Source organism: Homo sapiens, chromosome 9 (assembly GCF_000001405.40).
Source record: "Homo sapiens chromosome 9, GRCh38.p14 Primary Assembly".
Classification (NCBI taxonomy): domain Eukaryota; kingdom Metazoa; phylum Chordata; class Mammalia; order Primates; family Hominidae; genus Homo; species Homo sapiens.
The window spans coordinates 87,047,813-87,066,990 of NC_000009.12; the positions used below are offsets into that span (position 1 = coordinate 87,047,813).

At 38.0% G+C, this 19,178-nt stretch overlaps 1 long non-coding RNA gene across 1 annotated transcript; it reads left to right on the forward strand.

Moving 5' to 3' along the window:
• The first annotated feature begins 5,474 nt into the window (after nt 1-5,474).
• On the forward strand, nt 5,475-19,105 carry LOC124902196 (uncharacterized). The gene is made up of 2 exons (XR_007061638.1): nt 5,475-5,598; nt 18,268-19,105. It is a non-coding gene; the product is annotated as an uncharacterized LOC124902196 (long non-coding RNA).
• The last annotated feature ends 73 nt before the right edge of the window (nt 19,106-19,178 follow it).

Sequence of the window (19,178 nt, forward strand, 5' to 3'; positions counted from 1 at the left end):
ACCAGCATTGCACATGTATACATATGTAACTAACCCGCACAATGTGCACATGTACCCTAAAACTTAAAGTATAATAATAAAAGAAAAAAAAATTAAAAAAAGAATCACCATAGACTTCATATTGTAAATTATGCAAGCTGAAAGACAATGCGTAGATGTCTAAAATAAACAAAAACTTTCAACCCAGAATGTTATACCCAGCAATAACATCTTTCGACTATGAAGGTGAAATAAAGACTTTTTCAGCAAACAAAAGCTAAGATAAATCAGTTCTGGCAACCTGAATTATAAGAAATGTTAAGCAATGTTTTTCAGACAGAAGGAATATGATACCTCATACAAATATGAATCTAAACAAAGAAAGGAAGAGTGCTGAAAATGATTGAAAATGAGGGCAAATAATAAAGAAATATTTTCTTACTTTTAATCCCTTTATACAATAATTTATTATCTAAGGCAAAAATAATAACCATGTATTATGGTATTTAGAACATACATAGGCATTAAGAATAAAATGTGTAGTAAAAAATTGAACAGATGCTAGGAGGTTAAACCTGGAAGTACTCAATTAGGAGACTCTCAGACTATACTTGAGATTCTATAATACTTTTGAAGGTAAGAAGTAATATATTAAAGATATAAATTGTAAAACTTAGAGCAACCACTAAAAAGATAAATATTCCATTAATCCAAAAGAAGGCAAAAAAGACTTTGAGAGGAAAAAAAGAATATATAGGACATAAAAACAAATATAATGATAGATCTAAATCTAATCCTATCAATGATGACACTAAATGAAAATGATCTAAAACCATTTAAAAGGCAGGAAATAGCAGAGGTGACAAAAGAAAAATAGCTGAATTGGAATTTATCAAAATCAAAAACTCCTATGCTTCAACTAACACCATCAAGAATGTGAAAAAACAACATACAGAATGGGAGAAAATATTTGCAAATTATATTTTTGATAAAGATCCTGTATCTAGAATATATAAAGAGCTTTTAGAACTTAACAATTTAAAAAGACAGATGACTCAATTTTTAAAAGGGAGAAAGGGCTTGAATAGAAATTTTTCCAAAGATAATATACAAATGACCAAGAAGCACATGAAAATGTGTTCAATATCAGTCATTGGGGAAATGAAATAAAAACCATAATGAGATATTACTTCACACCCACTAGGATGGCTATAATAAAAAAAGATAGTGCTGACAAGCATATGGAGAAATTGGAACCCTCATATACTGCTGGTGAGAATGGAAAATGACACAGCCACTCTGAAAAACAGTTTGGAAATTTCCCAAAATATTAAACAAAGAGTTATCATATAACCCACCCGTTCTGCTCTTAAGTATATACCCAAGAAACTGAAAATATGTGTCCACCCAAACGCTTACACACAAATGTTCTTGGTAGGATTATTCATGATATCACAAATTGGGGACAAGCCAAATATCCATCAACTGATGAAAGGATAAATAATGTATAATATATTCTTACAATGGAGTACTATTAAGCAATAAAAAGGAGTGAAATACCAATACATACTACAACATAGATGAATCTTGAAAACATTACACTAAGTGAAAGAAGCCAGTCACAAATGGCTACATATTGTATGATGCCATTTATACAAAACCTCCAGAATGAACAAGTATACAAAATTGATTCTTGACTGCATAGAGCTGGTGTGGGAGGGAGAATGGAGAGTGACTGCTAATGGGGACAGTTCTGGGGGGAAATGATAAGAATGTTCTAAAATTGGACCATGGTGTTGGTTGCACAACTCTGAGCTATAATAAAAACCATTGACTTGTAAACTTTAAAAGGGTCAATGTTATGGTCTGTAAATTATATCTTTATAAAGGTGTATTGTTTTGTGATATATTTTTATTTTTCATTTTTAAAAACTTCATCTTTTATTTTAGATTCAGGGGGTATATGTGTTGGTTTGTTACAGAGATATATTGCGTGATGCTGAGGTTTGGGGTATGGTTGATCCTATCACCCAGGTCGTGAGCATAAAACCCAATAGGTAGTTTTTCAACCCTTGCCCCCTCCCTCCCTCTGCTTTCTGGTAGTCCCCAGTGTCTATTGTTCCCATCTATATGACCATGTGTACCTAATATTTAGCTCCCACTTATAAGTGAGAACATGTGATATTTTGTTTTCTGTTTCTGCATTAATTTGCTTAGGATAATGACTTCCAGATGATCCACGTTGCTGCAAAAGGCATGATTTTGTTCTTTTTTGTGTCTGCATAGTATTCCATGGTGTATATGTACCACAGTTTCTTTATCCAATCCACTATTGATAGGCACCTGGGTTGACTCCACATCTTTGCTATTGTGACTAGTGCTGCAATGTACATACAATGTATGTGTCTTTTTGGTAGAGCAATTTATTTTCTTTTGGATATATACCTGGTAATGGGATAGCTGGGTCAAATGATAGTTCTATTTTTGGTTCTTTGAGAAATCTCCAAACTGCTTTCCACAGTGGCTGAATTAATTTACATTCCCACCAACAGTGTGTATGCATTTCCTTTTCTCTGCAGCCTCACCAACATCTGTTATTATTTAACTTTTTTATAAAAGCCATTTTGACTAGTCTGAGTTGGTATCTCATTGTGGTTTTGATTCACGTTTCTCTGATGATCAGTGATGTTGAGCATTTTTTCATATGTTTGTTGGCTGCTTTTTTGTCTTCTTTTAAGAAGTGTCTGCTCATGTCCTTTGCCCACTTTTTAATGAATTTATTTGTCTTTTCTTGTTGAATTGTTTAAGTTTCTTATAGATTCTGGATATTAGACCTATGCTGGGTGCATAAATTGTGAATATTTTCTCCTATTCTATAGGTTTTCTGCTTACTCTGTTGACAGTTTCTTTTACTGTGCAGAAGCTCTCTGTTTTAATTAGGTTCTGTTTGTCAGTGTTTGTTTCTGTCACAATTGCTTTGGAGGACTTAGTCAAAAAGTCTTTGCCAAAGCTGATGTCCAGAAGGGTATTTTCTAGGTTTTCTTCTACGACTTTTATAGTTTTAGGTCTTACATTTAAGTCTTTTTTTAAAAAAAACTTCTGTTTTAGGTTCAGGGGTACATATGAAGGCTTGATACATAGGTAAACTCATGTCACAGGGATTTGTTGTATAAATTATTTCATCAAACAGGTGTTAAGCCCAGTACCCAATAGTTATCTTTTCTGCTCCTCTCCCTCTTCCCACCCTCCATCCTCAAGTAGACCCCAGTGTCTGTTGTTTTGTCCTTTGTGTAAATGAGACCCAGCAATCCCATTACTTCGTATATACCAAAAGAAATATAAGGCATTCTACCATAAAGACACATACACATGAATGTTCATTGCAGCGCTATTCACGATAGCAAAGATATGGAATCAACCTAAGTGCCCATCAATGACAGATTGGATAAAGAAAATGTGGTACATATACATCAAGGGATACCATGCAGCCACAAAAATTAGCAAGATCATGTCTTTTGCAGAGCATGGATGGAGTTGGAGCCCATTATCCTTAGCAAACTATTGCAGGAACTGAAAAGCAAATGCTGCGTTTAAGTCTTTAATCCATCTTGAATAAATTTTTGTGTATGGTGATAGGTAGAGGTACAATTTCATTCTTCTACATATGGATAGCCAGTTATCCCATCACCATTTATTGACTAGGGAGTCCTTTCCCCATTGCATAAAACTGTATTTTTAAAAAGGCAGACTGTCAGATTGGTTGTAAAAGCAAGACACAACCACATGCTATCTACAGGAAAGCACTCTAAATATAAACAAGTCAAGTGGTGGGTGATGAGACTGCAGAGGTAAACAAGATTATATACAACCTTGCATGCTCCACTGAAGAGCTTGCGTTTTATGTCCAGGGAAATAGGGATTTTACAGAAAGGTTTTAAATAAAATAGTAAGTTATAAGCCAGGTCAGTACTAGGGTGGGACAAACCAGGAGCCTAGCAAAACGTAAGGCACCATTCACTCTCTGGCCATGTATATGCAGGGGCAGCCCCCAGTTATGAGCACCCCCTTAAATGTTGTCTCCCAGTGCCTCGCTTGCCTCACCCTGGCCTGACCCTGGCAACAAGCTCCCAGCTTTAGAAACGATGCTCTCCACACTTTACCATGTGAGAGTAGATTCAAGGAGTGAAAATCAGAGGTAGGAAGATCGCTAGAAGGTTTATTCATTTATTGTACATATTTAAGTACTGGCTACGTGATAAAGATAAAGCCACACTTTCATGGAGCCTGCATTCTGACAAGGGCAGGGGAAGATGGATAATGAACACCAATACATAAATTAGATAATTTCAAGTGTATGATAAGTGCTAAAAACCCGCAAACTAGTATATTCTGAGAAATATATTTATTACTTTAATCTTAGACTAATGTATCTCTATTTCTGTGTGACTAATATTTTTCTAAAGTTTTTTTAAATAAACTTATTTTTATTCATACAAATGCCTACCATCTTAAACTTTGCCTTTTATGGTTGATAAATTTGAAATTCAAATAACTCATCTGTTGATGAGATAAAAATAACTCTTACCTTGAAATGAAGGATATTTTTAGTTCTACTTCACATCTGGTCTTTCTTGTTATGGAAATGTATAAATGTTTTAACCTGACTCCTGAGGCGGCTCCACCAACAGAAGAACTGAGCAAATGGTTAAATGATATCATCAGATACTTTGGATAGAAAATCAACCAAGTCAATTCCAATAATTGTTTGATTTTTTTTTTCATTCAACTTATGGAAACAAAGTAAAGCTTTTAAAAACTTCATCCTAAGATAAACCATATGTTATTATCACGAATACTATTGAAATTTACTTAAAACGCTCCATATTGAAGATAAAAATATTTGTTTTTGTGATGATACCATGAATACAGATTTTGGTTGGAGTGCAAATTAATATCCCATCGCTGCTGTAACAAATCACCACAAACTGGCTGGGTGTGGTGGTGCATGCCTGTAATCCCAGCACTTTGGGAGGTCAAGGCTGGCGGATCACTTGAGGCCAGGAGTACAAGACCAGCTGGCGCAACATGGCGAAACCCCGTCTCTACAAAAAACACAAAAAATTCAAAAAATTAGCCGGGCATGGTGCTGTGCTCGTGTAGTCACAGCTACTCCGGAGGCTGAGGTGGGAGGATTGCTTGAACCCTGAAGGTGGAGAGTACAATGAGCCGAGATCATGCCACTGCACTCCAGCCTGGGTGACAGAGCAAGACCCTATCTCTAAAAAATAAGAAGAAAAGGGAAAATTTTTTTAAAATAAAGAAAAAAACCCCAAAATTACCGTAAACATAGTGGGCTTAAAATAACACACTTCTTTTTTTTTTTAACCTTACAGTTCTATAGGTCAGAAGTCTCACTGGCCTAACCTTGAGGTGACATCATTGCTATATTTCTTCTGGACGCACTAGGAGACAATCTGTTTCTTTGCCTTTTCCAGTTTCTAGAGGCCATCTTTCCCCTTGGCTCATGGTCCCTTCCTTCATCTTCAAAGCCAGCGGTGTAGCATCGTAGCATCTTCATGTCTCCTTGGGATAAGATGGGGCTCTCCTGGATGATTCAAGGTAATCTCTTAATCTCAACAGCTACAAATTTAGTAACATCAGTCCAATCTCATTCACCAGATAAGGTAACATATTCATAGGTTTCAAAGATTAGGGTGTGACATCTTGTGGGGGAGGGTCATTTTCCTGCCTACCACAAAGTGTTGTAGTAAAAGTACTGTTTTCAGTAAGTTAAGAAGCATATGAAGCAGAAATATACAGGGAAAAGTTGGATGTACATATAATTCATTATTTCACAGTCTTCTTGAAATAATCACTGAGATGTTGAAGTAGACACAGATGCTTCTTCAGCTGCATGGTGTCTTCTGGGGTTCACATGGTCTTTGGTATCACTATGTTCCCTGTGATGGTGGATACTGACATTTTGTGTAAGTTGCACATTTATCATCAACTTTTTTGAGACATGGAAATGAAGTACCTAATTTGTCATGAAACACTCCTTTTCAGTTTTCTAAGCTTATTGCTGCTGAAGGGATGTATTGAAAAATAAAAATGTCTTGCTAAACAGTGCAGTACACACATAGCTGGAGATTGATATCACACAATAAATGACAAAAATCCTCTAGCAAGAACCCCTGTCTTTCTCTACACCTTCTATGATAGACTTGCTAAACTTGTATTTCTCCAATATACACACGGTGTATAACTTCCCCCATTTTGCTTATTCTGCAGATTAATGGCCTGGTAACTTTTTGTGTCTTGCAGGCTGTGATGCAGGCCATGGCACAATTGACTAAGGCACCAAGTACTAGGCAGAGACTTCACCCACCACCACCCAATAACCAGGAAGAGTTAGTTGCCTATACACACTTTGTTTTAATCAGTGAGCCCCCTGCATCTATACTTGAAATATAGGTGTTAGGTTGCTTCTGGAAAAGATCAGAAAAAGACTGCGTCTTAGGACACTCCAGCAAAATACCATAAACTAGGCTCATAAACAACAGAAATTTATTTCTTACAGTTCTGGAGGCTGGTAAGTCCAAGATCAAGGTGCTGGCAGATTCAGTGTCGGGTGAGCCCACTTTCTGGCTCATAGATGGAGCCTCCCTGCTATGTCCTTACATGATGGAAGAAATTAATGAATTACTCTGGGCCCCTTTTATATGGACATGGATCACATTCCTGAGAGCTCTCTCCTCATGACCTAATCACTTCCCAAACACCCCACCTCCTAATACTGTCACCTTGAGGGTTAGGATTTTAACATATGAATTTTGAGAGATGTCAACATTCAGGCCATAGCAGAGGATAATCCCTAGAGGTCTTTCAGATTTAATTAGATGTTAAAGTGCTTTTAACTGCACATGATCCTCACAGGTTACTAGACAGGTGATGCTATGGCAAAAGCTGAAAGAACAAAATGCAGGACAACTAAATATATCTCAGATAAGTTATTGCCTCTACTACTGACAATATTCTGTCAAAAAAAATTCTGGGCCAAATAATACATTAAACAGGATGTCAGAACAAGAAGCATAAGAGGGGACTGGCCCTGGGCCAAGTGAGATTTATGATTATCTTCACTAGGTGGTCACAATTTGCCTAGGGGGACACAGGTGGGCAGAGTCCTGAATGCAGAGAAGGTGCGTGTGCCACAGTGACCTTAGGGAGAAGGGTGCAAGCCGAGGTACAGTAAATGCAAACATTCTCAACAAGAAGACCAGAGAGAAAAGGAGGTGGGAGGGGCAGGAAATACAGGTAGAGATGCAACACAGCCAGATGGTACAGGGTTTAGGAGAATTCCAAAAGAGATTGGTTCCATGTATAGTGAGATCATGTGCTATTTGATCTGGTTTATTTCAATCAGTAGAATGTCTTCCAGGCTTACTCACATTGTAGCAAATGACAGGATTTTCTTTTTTTTTCGTGTGGCTAAATAACATTCTATTGTATTTTCTTTATCTATTCATTCTTGGATTGACACTTAGATTGTTTCCACATCTCTGTTATTGTGAATAATGTTGCAATGAATATGAGAGTGCAGATATCTCAAGATACTGATTTCATTTCCTTTGGAAATATACATAATAGTGGAATTGCTGGATTATATTTCAGTTCTATTTTTAATTTTCTGAGTAACCTCCATATTGTTTTCCATAATGACTGCACCAATTTATATCCCTGCCAACAGTGTACAAGGGTTGCCTTTTCTCCACACTCTTGCCAACACTTGTTATCTCTCATTTTCTTGGTAATAGCCAGGTGTGAGGTAATAGCTCATTGTGGTTTTGATTTGCATTTTCCTGATGATTAGTGATGTTGATCATTTCTTCATGTACCTGTTGTACATTTATATGACTTCTTTGGAAAAATACCCATTCAGGTCCTTTGCCCATTTGCTAATCAGATTATTTGTTTTTGCCTTTTTCCTTTTTTTTTTTTTTTTTTTGAGTTGGGCAGTTTTTTATTTTTTATTGAGTGGGGCAAGTTCCTTATATATTTTGTATATTAAACCCGTATTAGATATTATGGTTTGCAATATTTCTCCCATACTATAAGTTACCTTTTCATTTTGTTAATAATTTCCTTAGCTGTACAGAAGCTTTTTATTTTAATGTAGGCCTGCTTGTTTATTTTTGCTTTTGTTGCTTGCGCTTTTGGTGTCACATGGAAAGAAATCAGTGCCAACATCAATGTCAAGAAGCATTTTCTCTATGTGTTTTTCTAAAATTTTATGGTTTCAGATTTCATATTTAAGCTTTTAATCCATTTTACATTGTGTATGGTGTAAGACAAGGTCCAATTCATTCTTTTGATAATAGATACCCAGTTTTCCCAACCACATTTATTGAAGAGATTGTCCTTTTCCTGTTGTGTATTCTTGGCACCTGTGTTAGTCTATTCTCACACTGCTATAAAGAAATACCAGAGACTGGGTAATTTATAAAGAAAAGAGGTTTAATTGACACAATTTTGCATGGCTGAAGAGGCCTCAACGAACTTACCATCATGGCAGAAAGCGAAGCAGAAGCAGGCACCTTCTTCACAAGGTGGCAGGAGAGAGTGAGTGCCAGCAGGGGAAATGCCAGATGCTTATAAAACCATCAGATCTCATGAGAGCTCACTCATTATTGTGAGAACAACATAGAGAACACTGCCCCCATGGTTCAATTACCTCCACCTAGATCCTCCCACAACACCTGGGGATTATGGGGATTACAATTCAAGATGAGATTTGGGTGGGGCGCAAAACCCAAACGTATCAGCACCCTTGTCAAAGGTTATTTGCCAATATATGCATGAGTTTATTTCTGAGCTCTCTATTCTCTTTTATTGGTTTATGTGTCTCTTTTTATGCTAACACAATACTGTTGATTTCTATAGCTTTGTAATATAGTTTGAAACCAGGGAATGTGATGCCTACAGCTTTGTTCTGTTTGTTCAAGATTGCTTTGGCTATTTGAGATCTTTTGTGGTTTCATACAAAATTTAGAATTGTTTTTCCTATGTCTGTAAAAATGACAGAATTTTGATAGAAATTGCATTCAATCTGTAGACCACTTTGGGGAGTAAGGACATTTTAACAATATTAATTATTCCAACCCATGAGCATGAAATGTCTTTCCATTTATTTGTGTTGTTTTCAGTTTCTTTGATCTTACTTCTATGTGGAATCTAAAAAAGTCAAACTCATGGAAGCAGAGAGTAGAATAGTGGTTACCAGGGGCTAGGGTGGAGGGGGAGAAATGAGGAGATGTTGGTTACAGTGTACTAACTTTGGGTTATAAAATAAATAAGTTCTGGGGATCTAATGTGTAGCATGGTGACTATAGGTAGTTAATAATTCTGTGTTGTTTATTTGAGATTTGAAAAGAAAGCAAATTTTAAGTGTCCTCACCACACACACAAATGATAACTATGAATGGTAATGGATGTGGTATTTAATTTGACTGTGATCATCAGAACACAATGTACATGTATTTTAAATTACCAAATTTTTCATCTTGAATATATATAGACATTGTCTCTCTCTCTATATATATATATAGTAGTTATTCTAACATTTTTAATTTTTAAATATTTAATTGATAATTTTGTTGATTAAATATTTAAAAATTTAAAATGTTAGAATGTCTATTAATATTATGCATCACAAAATAAGGTTCAACAAGAAATGCTTTCTCAAAGAATTTCAAAAAATTCAACAGCAATTCCTTATTTCAAAAGCTCTTAGAAAATAACACATTTTAAAGTAGTAAAATATTTTAATAAATAAAAATTACAACATTTGGCTAGGGGATATTAAAAATATTTGAAACAATGAAAATGTATAATCTTTTCCTGAATTGATAAAACTGAATATTAAAACATGTTATTTCTCAGAATTGACAGACTTTTCACTCAACTTAAAAAGCCAGACACCTTCTTATAACTTAATAAAGTGATTCTAAAGTTCATTAAGACTTGTTTCAACTAATTACATTTTTTGCAAGAGTATCATATAAAGAAATAATGTAGATGAGTGGAACAGAAAATTCTACAACCACATGGATTTATTATTTAATAACAGTGATATGTGATATTACACCTTAAAAAAAAAAGAGACTCTATTTTATCCTAAGTGTATGGAAAGCCATTGGAAGAGTTTAAACCGGAGACTAATATAGTGATTTACATTTCAGAATGATCATTTGGTTATTTTACAGTGAACAGTCACCAGGTGGTGGCAAGAGTGAATGCAGAAAAAACAGGGCAGTCATTCCAGTATTGGAGGCAAGGACTGGTGTGGGAGCAATGCAGAGAGGGAGAAATGTTCAGATTGGGGATAGATTTTACAGGTAGGCTTTAGGGAATTTGCTTATGGATTGGATGTGGGTGGGGAAGATTTGAGGAGGCAAGAAGGACTCCAAGTTATTTGCCATGAGATTCTGGAGTGGATGATGGTGCCATTTACTGAGATAGGAAAGCCAGAGGTTGCAGCAGGGTTTGCGTACTTGTTTGTTGTTTTGCTTTGGGGTAGGAAAAAACCCAAAAACCCAAATCTGTTTGTTTTGTTTCTGTTTTTTTGTTTGTTTGTTTGTTTTTGAAACAGAGTCTTGCTCTGTCGCCCAGGCTGGAGTGCAGTGCTGTGATCCCCGCTCACTGCAAGCTCCACCTCCCAGGTTCATGCCATTCTCCTGCCTCAGTCTCCCGAGTAGCTGGGACTACAGGTGCCCACCACCACACCCGGCTAATTTTTTGTATTTTTCGTAGAGACGGGGTTTCACCGTGTTAGCCAGGATGGTCTCAATCTCCTGACCTCATGATCCACCCGCCTCAGTCTCCCAATCAAAAACCCAAATCTGAACAAACAACGATAGCGTACTTAGACAACTGGGTGTGGCTGATAGCATTGGTAGAACTTGTGGATGGGCATGATGCTGGGGAAAAGGTGACATGGAGTAAAAAAATCAAGAAAACATCATGTCTGCCTCAGGCATGTCGTAGACAGCCACAACACGGGAGTCTGGCTCAAACTTGTGAATTTTCAAGCACGCCTGATATACTCAGGTGGAAAAGCTCTAGATAGTTTTGAAGTTAAAAGCTCTGAAGCTCAAGGGAGATAGCTTGATGGATTGGAGAAATTTAGGGAGATCTCAGCATAAATGGGGGAGAGAGGGGATAGCCTGGGAGTTTATAGTCTAAAATGGGAGGAAGGGATGAAACATTGTGGGGAAAGGAGGATTCCTGATGGGGCCTGAGCACTCAAGCCCTTGTGAAGTGATATAAGGCCACTTCCAGCCTTGGAAAGGGGGTGATCTGGTTTGGCTGTGTCCCCTCCCAAATCTCATCTTGAATTGTAGCTCCCATAATCTCCACATGTCATGGGAGGGACCCAGTGGAAGGTAATTGAATCATGGCGATGAGTTTTTCCCATGCTGTTCTAATGGTAGTGAATAAGTCTCAAGAGATCAGATGGTTTTATAAAAGTCAGTTCCCCTGCACATGCTGCCTTGCCTGCTGCCATGGAAGACATGCTCTTCCTTTGCCTTCTGCCATGATTGTGAGGCCTGCCTAGCCATGTGGAACTGGGATTCCATGAAACCTCTTTTCTTTATAAATTACCCATTCTCAGGTATTTCTTCATAGCTGTATGAAAATGGAACTAATACAGGGGAGAGAGAAGAAGGGGTGGGGAAGAAGAGAAAGATGATTGGGAAAATTGTGTTACTTCACCAATTTGCAAAGGGCTAGCTTTTAAGCAGAGATGACAGATGACATTTATGAGTGCTTCTTAAACTGTTCTTAGCATTCCCCTTGGGCCTACTGATTTGGAATCTTCTGGAGCAAGGCAGGGAATTGGCAGTTGATTTCTCTGATGGACACTAAAGCTCGTGAATGATAATGCCGAGTTTCAGATGCCCATGAAGGTCTCAGGTCCTCACGTGAATGGCTTGTGCTGTTCATACTTACACACAGTGGAGCTCTGTGCTGTTGGTTCATGCTTCTAGATCATGCCACAAAAGCCTGTCTTAGTCCAGTGAGTCCTGAACCCATTTGATCATGAGGCTCATCTGGAACTCTTGTTAAAACACAGATTTCCAAGCCAAGTTCCTAGAAATTCTGATTCAGTCATGCCAAGGTCTGTGTATTTAACAAGTTGTCCCCAGGTGATTCTCGTGATCCAGCAAGGTTGGGAAACATTGCTTTAGTCAAAGTTTTTTTCTGTCTCATATGTGAAAATCTAGGAGCAGATCAGAAGCAAAGGGCAAACAAAACCCCAGCTGAAGAAGCAAAGTAATTCCCAAAGTCTTCCAGATGTTTCCCTGTTTGTGAAGCAAATTCTGGTTTCATTAGCGGCCTCACTTTCATTTATGCTTCTGGTTGAGTTAACCATTCAGATAATAGAGTTCTATGCAGAGACAACGTAGAGAATTATCACTTAGATTATCAAGCAAGAAACAAAAAAGCAGGATGCAAGAGAGGTAGGAGAAGGAAGGAAAGTAGGGAATTCTAAAATCATTTTATTAAAGAGTAACTAGAATAGATTTTGTTTTGTTTTGAGACAGGGTCTCACTCTGTCACCCAGGCTGGAGTGCAGTGGTGTGATCATGCCTCACTGTAGCCTCTACCTCCCAGGTTCAAGTGATCCCCCCACCTCAGAATCCTAAGTAGCTGGGATCACAAGCACACGCCACCACACCTGGCTAATTTTTCTTTATTTTTTTGTAGAGACGGAGTTTTGCCATGTTGCCCAGACTAGACTCGAACTTCTGACCTCAAACGATCCCCCTGCCTTGGCCTCAAAAAGTGTTGGGATTACAGGCATGAGCCCCCACACTCAGCCTAGAAGAGATTTTGACATGATATAATATTATAGTATCTCTATATAGTTCCTTCCTCATGTCAATTTCCCAAATAATTTCTCAGCTTTCTTATAGAATTATGGATCTAGTTTATAACTCATTAATTAATTTACAATTCATTGCCTAACACAATTAAACAAAGGGATCTACTAAGCCTTCTCAAATCTATACTGTTTTGCTCCAACTTTCCTCCTTCCCCATGAAATATGCATTTGGGAGTTGATTAAAATACCCATCTCCCACCACTCTACTCAGTTCCTGCTTCAGATATCAAATGTTCAGCTACTGAGATTGAATAGCACAGGAAGCAGAATTGACTTGTTTCTGAATCCATTTGACTCTTAAGTTTCAGAGAGCAGGCAGCAAATCTTTGACTGCAAGGAATTTATTCAAAAATTTCTTTTCATTTTTACTACAGAGTTAGAAAGCTCAGCTACTGAGTTCAAATGGTGAAAATTTGGAGAGCAAGAGTTGAGAGAGCAAGAGATTACCACAATGTTATCATTAGTGCGGAACACAGCACCATATCAGCAAGCATTCTACATACAGTAATGTTTGAGACCTGGGTCAGATTTGTCAGTTATTAAATATTTGAGAAAACAACAAAAGATTGTCATCTCTAAAACATTCTTTTTTTTCTAGCTGCAGCTTAAAAATCAGGCATTGGGTTGTTTTAAACATGAATGAACATGGAAAGAAAACATAGATATTTAGCATATTATGGCTCCTGACACCGTCCCCGGGGCACTTTCAGTAACCACAACACAGGGACCCTGTAACCTTGAGCTTCAACCATGTTTGAAGACTGCATAAAGGGGTCTTCTACTCAACCTAATCTTAGACTTGGGATTTTCATGATGCTTCCCTTTCACCTTCTCCTTTAAAATCTTTTTATCAATACCTTGTCTCGTTTTCACATATAATATTCTTTACACATGCCCAGCTATTTCTTTATTTTCTTTTTTAAAAAGAGTAAATGCAAATAATAATCTTCTGTTTTAAAACCTTCTCGGTTTTTGAGCCTATCTATCTGGAATTATAGAAATACCCTGTCAGTTTGGTTTCCAAGCCTCCTGCAGAGTGAGACAGGGTCTCACCCTGTCCCAGGCTGGAGTGTAGTGGTGTGATCACGCTTCCCTGCAGCCTCTACCTCCCAGGCTCAAGTGATCCTCCCACCTCAGAATCCTAAGTAGCTGGGACTATGGGTGCATGCCAGCAAGCCTGGCTAGTTTTTCCTTATTTTTTGTAGAGACGGGGTTTTCTGTGGACCTCTCTGGGCATTCTGGTTGCAGTACATTTAGTAAAATGCAGCACAGAACGATGTGTGAAATGCACCTGCTGATGTTGGATGCTACACATGCACTGCTAAGAGTGTATAGCTGTTCCTTTGGAATGCAGAGATTGGGAACCTGAGGCACACGGAACACAGGAATCATAAATGTTGCTCAGAGAAGAATTCTGTGGCATGGGCACTTCAGAAGGAGCTAGTTTAGGGGTGGATGGGAGGGCACGGAATCCAGGTAACCAGGATGTGAAGAGGAATTGGTCAGAAACAACAGATATTTGAGAACAGAAGTGGATAATGGGAGTGAGGGGCGATAGTAGTGACAAATGGCCGTGGAAGGGCCACTGGCAACAAAACTTGCCTACTTCATAATTTTCTCTTGGTCTCAAGTCAATGTTATAATTAATAAGAATTTCAAGACTCAGCTCAAAGTTTAGAGACTCGAGAGAGATGGTTTGGGCTGGGTGCAATGGCTCATGCCTGTAATCCCAGCACTTTGGGAGGCCGAAGTGGGCAGATCACGAGGTCAGGAGATCGAGACCATCCTGGCTAACACGGTGAAACCCCGTCTCTACTAAAAATACAAAAAATTAACCAGGCGTGGTGGCGGGCGCCTGTAGTCCCAGCTACTCGGGAGGCGGAGGCAGGAGAATGGCATGAACTCGGGAGGCGAAGCTTGCAGTGAGCCGAGATTGCACCATTTGCACTCCAGCCTGGGAGACAGAGTGAGACTCCGTCTCACAAAATAAATAAATAAATAAATAAATAAATAAAATTTTTAAAAAAGAGAGAGATGGTTTGGAGGCAAGCATGAGTTTTGGAAATGAATTTTGAGTTCTGCATTGCTGGCTATGTAACATGGGTACAGTTATCCAGCTTTCTTCAGCTCCCATTCCATCATGCAGAAAATAGGGATAGAAATTCCTTAGACATGGGATCACTGCAACAATTAAATATGGTGATAGCTATAAAACTTTTAACAAAGTGCCTGGCCCATGGAAAGCACTAAATAGTTAACCAACCCTATTATTGTTACCATTGTTATTATATCTAGGCAATGATTAAAGTTGTGAGTTTAAGAGAATCCCATTTCTAACTGGTCAAGTACAGTCTGTTCTCCTGCAGTGTGTTGTTTGTGTAATGTGAAGAAGTTCACAAACAAATGGTAAATAGGGAAATGCCATCAGTGTCATAGGAAAATCATGTTAGCTCATGCACAAATTTTCCTGGAAAAGAGGAGACAGAAAGGTAAAAGTAGGATTATAATCTTCGTAGGAAAGGAAAAAATCTCTTAACTTGGCTGCTGCTATCATAGAAGGAGCCCTTTAAGCTATGTTTTTAAAAAAATGAGAAACAAGTTTTTACAGTCAGGCTTTCCTCCTTCCACCCCATGTCAAGATTTGGGCTCCCAACTCTGTGCTGCTCTGGTCTCAGGGCAAGTTGGCAACTTAAGAGTAACCACTTCCGTCCAGACTGGACTCAGCTTTTGCAGCTCTGAGCCAATCCAAGTATTGCGGCTGTCTTCACCCTGGCAGTTTTATTCACTTTTAGTGTCTGTCACCAGGAATGTTCATGATATCTTCCCCAGGTTCCAATCATTGCTTTCCTTGGTGCTCTAGATGAAAAAATGCATGGACACTGAACACTTTGCCTCTTCCCCTTCCTCATCTTTTTTTTTTTTCATAAACTTCGTTATATTTGGTGCAAAAGTTTACAAAATGTGGAGTTTTGGGGGGAATGAATATGTTGCTTTATTTCAAAAATACCTTAAGTGCCATAGGACCTAACGGGAGATCCACTGAGGAATTACTTATCAAACTCTCCTGCAAAATAATTCAAGCCTGAAACTACAGGCTCCAGGTGAAGATCTCCCCTCCATGTAACTCAGTTAATGTCAATGATTGTGGAGGAAAGTCAGGAAGAGTGGAAAGAGATTTTAGAGAAACAACAGCAAGAAATGAGAGGAAAATATGGAAAGTGCTTCTGAGATTATCTTTCTAAAATATAGCCATAAATCATGAAAACATTTTATTCTGTTTTGCAATAGCACACCCACAGACATTCTTTCCAGTTGACTTTTTGATTTGAGGGCTTGTGGGTCATTCACAAAGTACAGCGTGTGTGTGTGTGTGTGTTTGTGTGTGTGTGTTTCCATTATAACCTTGGTTCAACTAAAAATGAAGTGGGATTAGAGTCAACAATCTCTTTGAGTAGTCTGAGAGGCTGGAGCAGGAGCATTGTGATTTAGTGGTTAGAGCTTCTATTAAAGGAACCCTGACAAGGTCATTGTCCTCAAGAATATAGAAGTTTCAGTGAAGACAAAATTTAGGGCTTTCTGTGGCCTTTGATATTTCTATTTTGTTATGTTTTTGTTTTTAATCCAAAGGATATTCAGGATTTACAGTTACTATCATCAGGAACCTCCAACAGATTACCTTTTAAAGCATTAGCAAAGGAGTTAATGTGTGGGCAAGCTCCTATCTCAGGGTGTCAACCTTGCTACTCCCCTCTGCCTGGAATCTGCTGTACTTGAGTATCACACGGTGTATGGGCGAGGCACTCACTGATCACCTTTCCCCAGGCACTCCCTGTCCTCTTTCTTGATTTACTTTTCTGTAGAACGCTCTTACCAGTTAATGCATTCCATATTAATTTTTTTGTTTATGGCTAGCAATTGATCCAGAAAAACTGTTTATAAATTTCGAGGTTATCCAAATTTAAAAGCACCAATTTCCTATTTGTTTTTTTGCTAGGTGAGAAAACACTTTTTACCAGGAGAAAGAGAGAGACAAAGAGAAAAAAGTGGAGAGACAGAAAAATATAGAGACACAAAGAAATAAAGAAACATAATTGGAGAAAATACATTTTTGTAAGCCTTGTTCAGATCCTTCTAAATTACATACCAGAGGCCACCCTAGGCCCAAGATTAAATCATGAATATTCTTAGAAGGTAGGCTGAAAACATATCCTCAAAAGCCACTTTTTGCTTCACAGGTATTGAAAAGGTAACACTTTTTCCCACTCTTGAAGGCACTTTAAATTATAATTAAACCAAAGAGTTTAACATGGATGCTGCACAGTAGTCACTGCACTGGAAAATATACAGCCTATGTGATTTTAGAGCAGGTTTGTAGAACAGAAATAGTACACAATTTTCACAGATCAGCCACAGACAATTTAGGTTAAAAAAATTGCTCAAAAGAGTTGCACTTGAAAACATACTCATAAAAAGGAATGAACTTCGGATACACGCAACACGCATGAATTTCAAATGCATTATTCTAGGTGAAAAAGTCACACTCAAAAGTTTACCTACTGTGTGGTCCTATTGATATGACATCTGGACTAGGAAAAACCATCAGGACAGAAAACAGATTAGTAATTATCAAGGCCTGGGGTCTAAGGAAGGGATGGGTACAAGGGAGCATGAGGGAACCTGTGAACTTGTCCAAACTCATAGAACCATACACTAACAAGAGTGAATCTTACTGTATGTATATCTGCATAAACCTGACTTTAAACAAACTAAATAGCAAACAATAACGATGACAATAAAATGTATGCCCAATAGAAGAACCCAGTAAGAGTGGCTGTCTCTTAGATGGTGAACAGGAAGACTTGGCACAAGGGTGCCATTTTGGAACTTCTTGGATTTTATGCCATCCATATATTCTTCTCACTCAAAAATGTGAAAGTAACAAAAATTGTGTGTGTGTATACACGATACTCTACTGATTCTAAATGCAAGCTTTTTCATATTTTAATATCTCTAAACTCAGAGTGCATCTGAGTACCATGTCACAGGTTTTTAATTTCTTAGCGGTACACACAACACTGATGTGTTTTAGATTTTTTTTAAAAAATAGCCTATTTTCCAGGATTGCCTGCTAGTTCTCTGTTAGACAGTGGAGTTGTCAAAACTAACAAGGTAGCTAAAAAGAGCGCCCGAAGCAATTCAACTCACAGTGTCCCTTAGGCAGATACTATTGTAAACTATCAAACAAGCAAAAAAAAAGAAAAAAAAAAAAGAAGAAGAAGAAAGACAGAAAAAAGAAAAAGAAAAAAGAAATTAAAGAGGTGCTATTCTCTTTATTTTAGAAAGAAAATATCTGAATAGCTCGCAAAATGAATGAGTCATGTGGCTTCTGCAGCAGCCCAAGTGGTGGAAATCAGACTGTTCTTGTCCTCGGGAAAACAACACTAAGCCACATCTGTGATGAGCCAGAAATCAGTTTTATGTAAAAGAATATGTGAGGGAACAGAAAGGGGAAGAAGTCTGGAAAATCCATGGCACAAACCCACAGCAAATTCATCCTGAAGTTTGCACGTGTCACTTACCAATGCGAAAAGACTGGAATCAAGACAGCTCTTCAAGAGGCCTGAAACCATCATGCACTGAAATCAGAATCAAGGACCTCCCTGGGTTTTACACACAGTTCCAGCTACAGAAAAGTTTCAGGATAAGTTAGTATCCACTGGGACTTTGCAGACCAGAATAAGAATTACCCACCAAAGACCATACATGACATGGAATCAGAAAGCTTCCAAATTCATATGGGTGTTTGTATTACTTTGCAACTAATTTATCACCAAGCCTTTTATCATATATCACTAGACATTTTAATATATGTAGGGTTCCATTCTTTCCTATCCTGTTATTTGCTAAAACATTTCTAGCTTCGCCTATCCCATTTATATCCTTGTCTAACCCTCTGCCATTTTCACATAGATTTGGGGGCTTTCGAGATACGGAGGTTGGAGGAAATGGTGAAAGGCATGGGGGAGAAAGGCAAGCGGTGCTTAAGGCAGGGCTGGAGGGGAAGCCTCAAAGATGTTGGACACTTCTGGGAATCTTACGGGAAAGAAAATGGAACGTTAACTGTAGTGAGTTTTGTACATCCTTAGTAATAAAAATAAAGAATGTGGGTAATTGAAAGATTATTGTGGGTTTAATCAGATGCATTTTCTGACTGTGCCATTGCTCTAAGGCTGTACCTCATGGATCATGG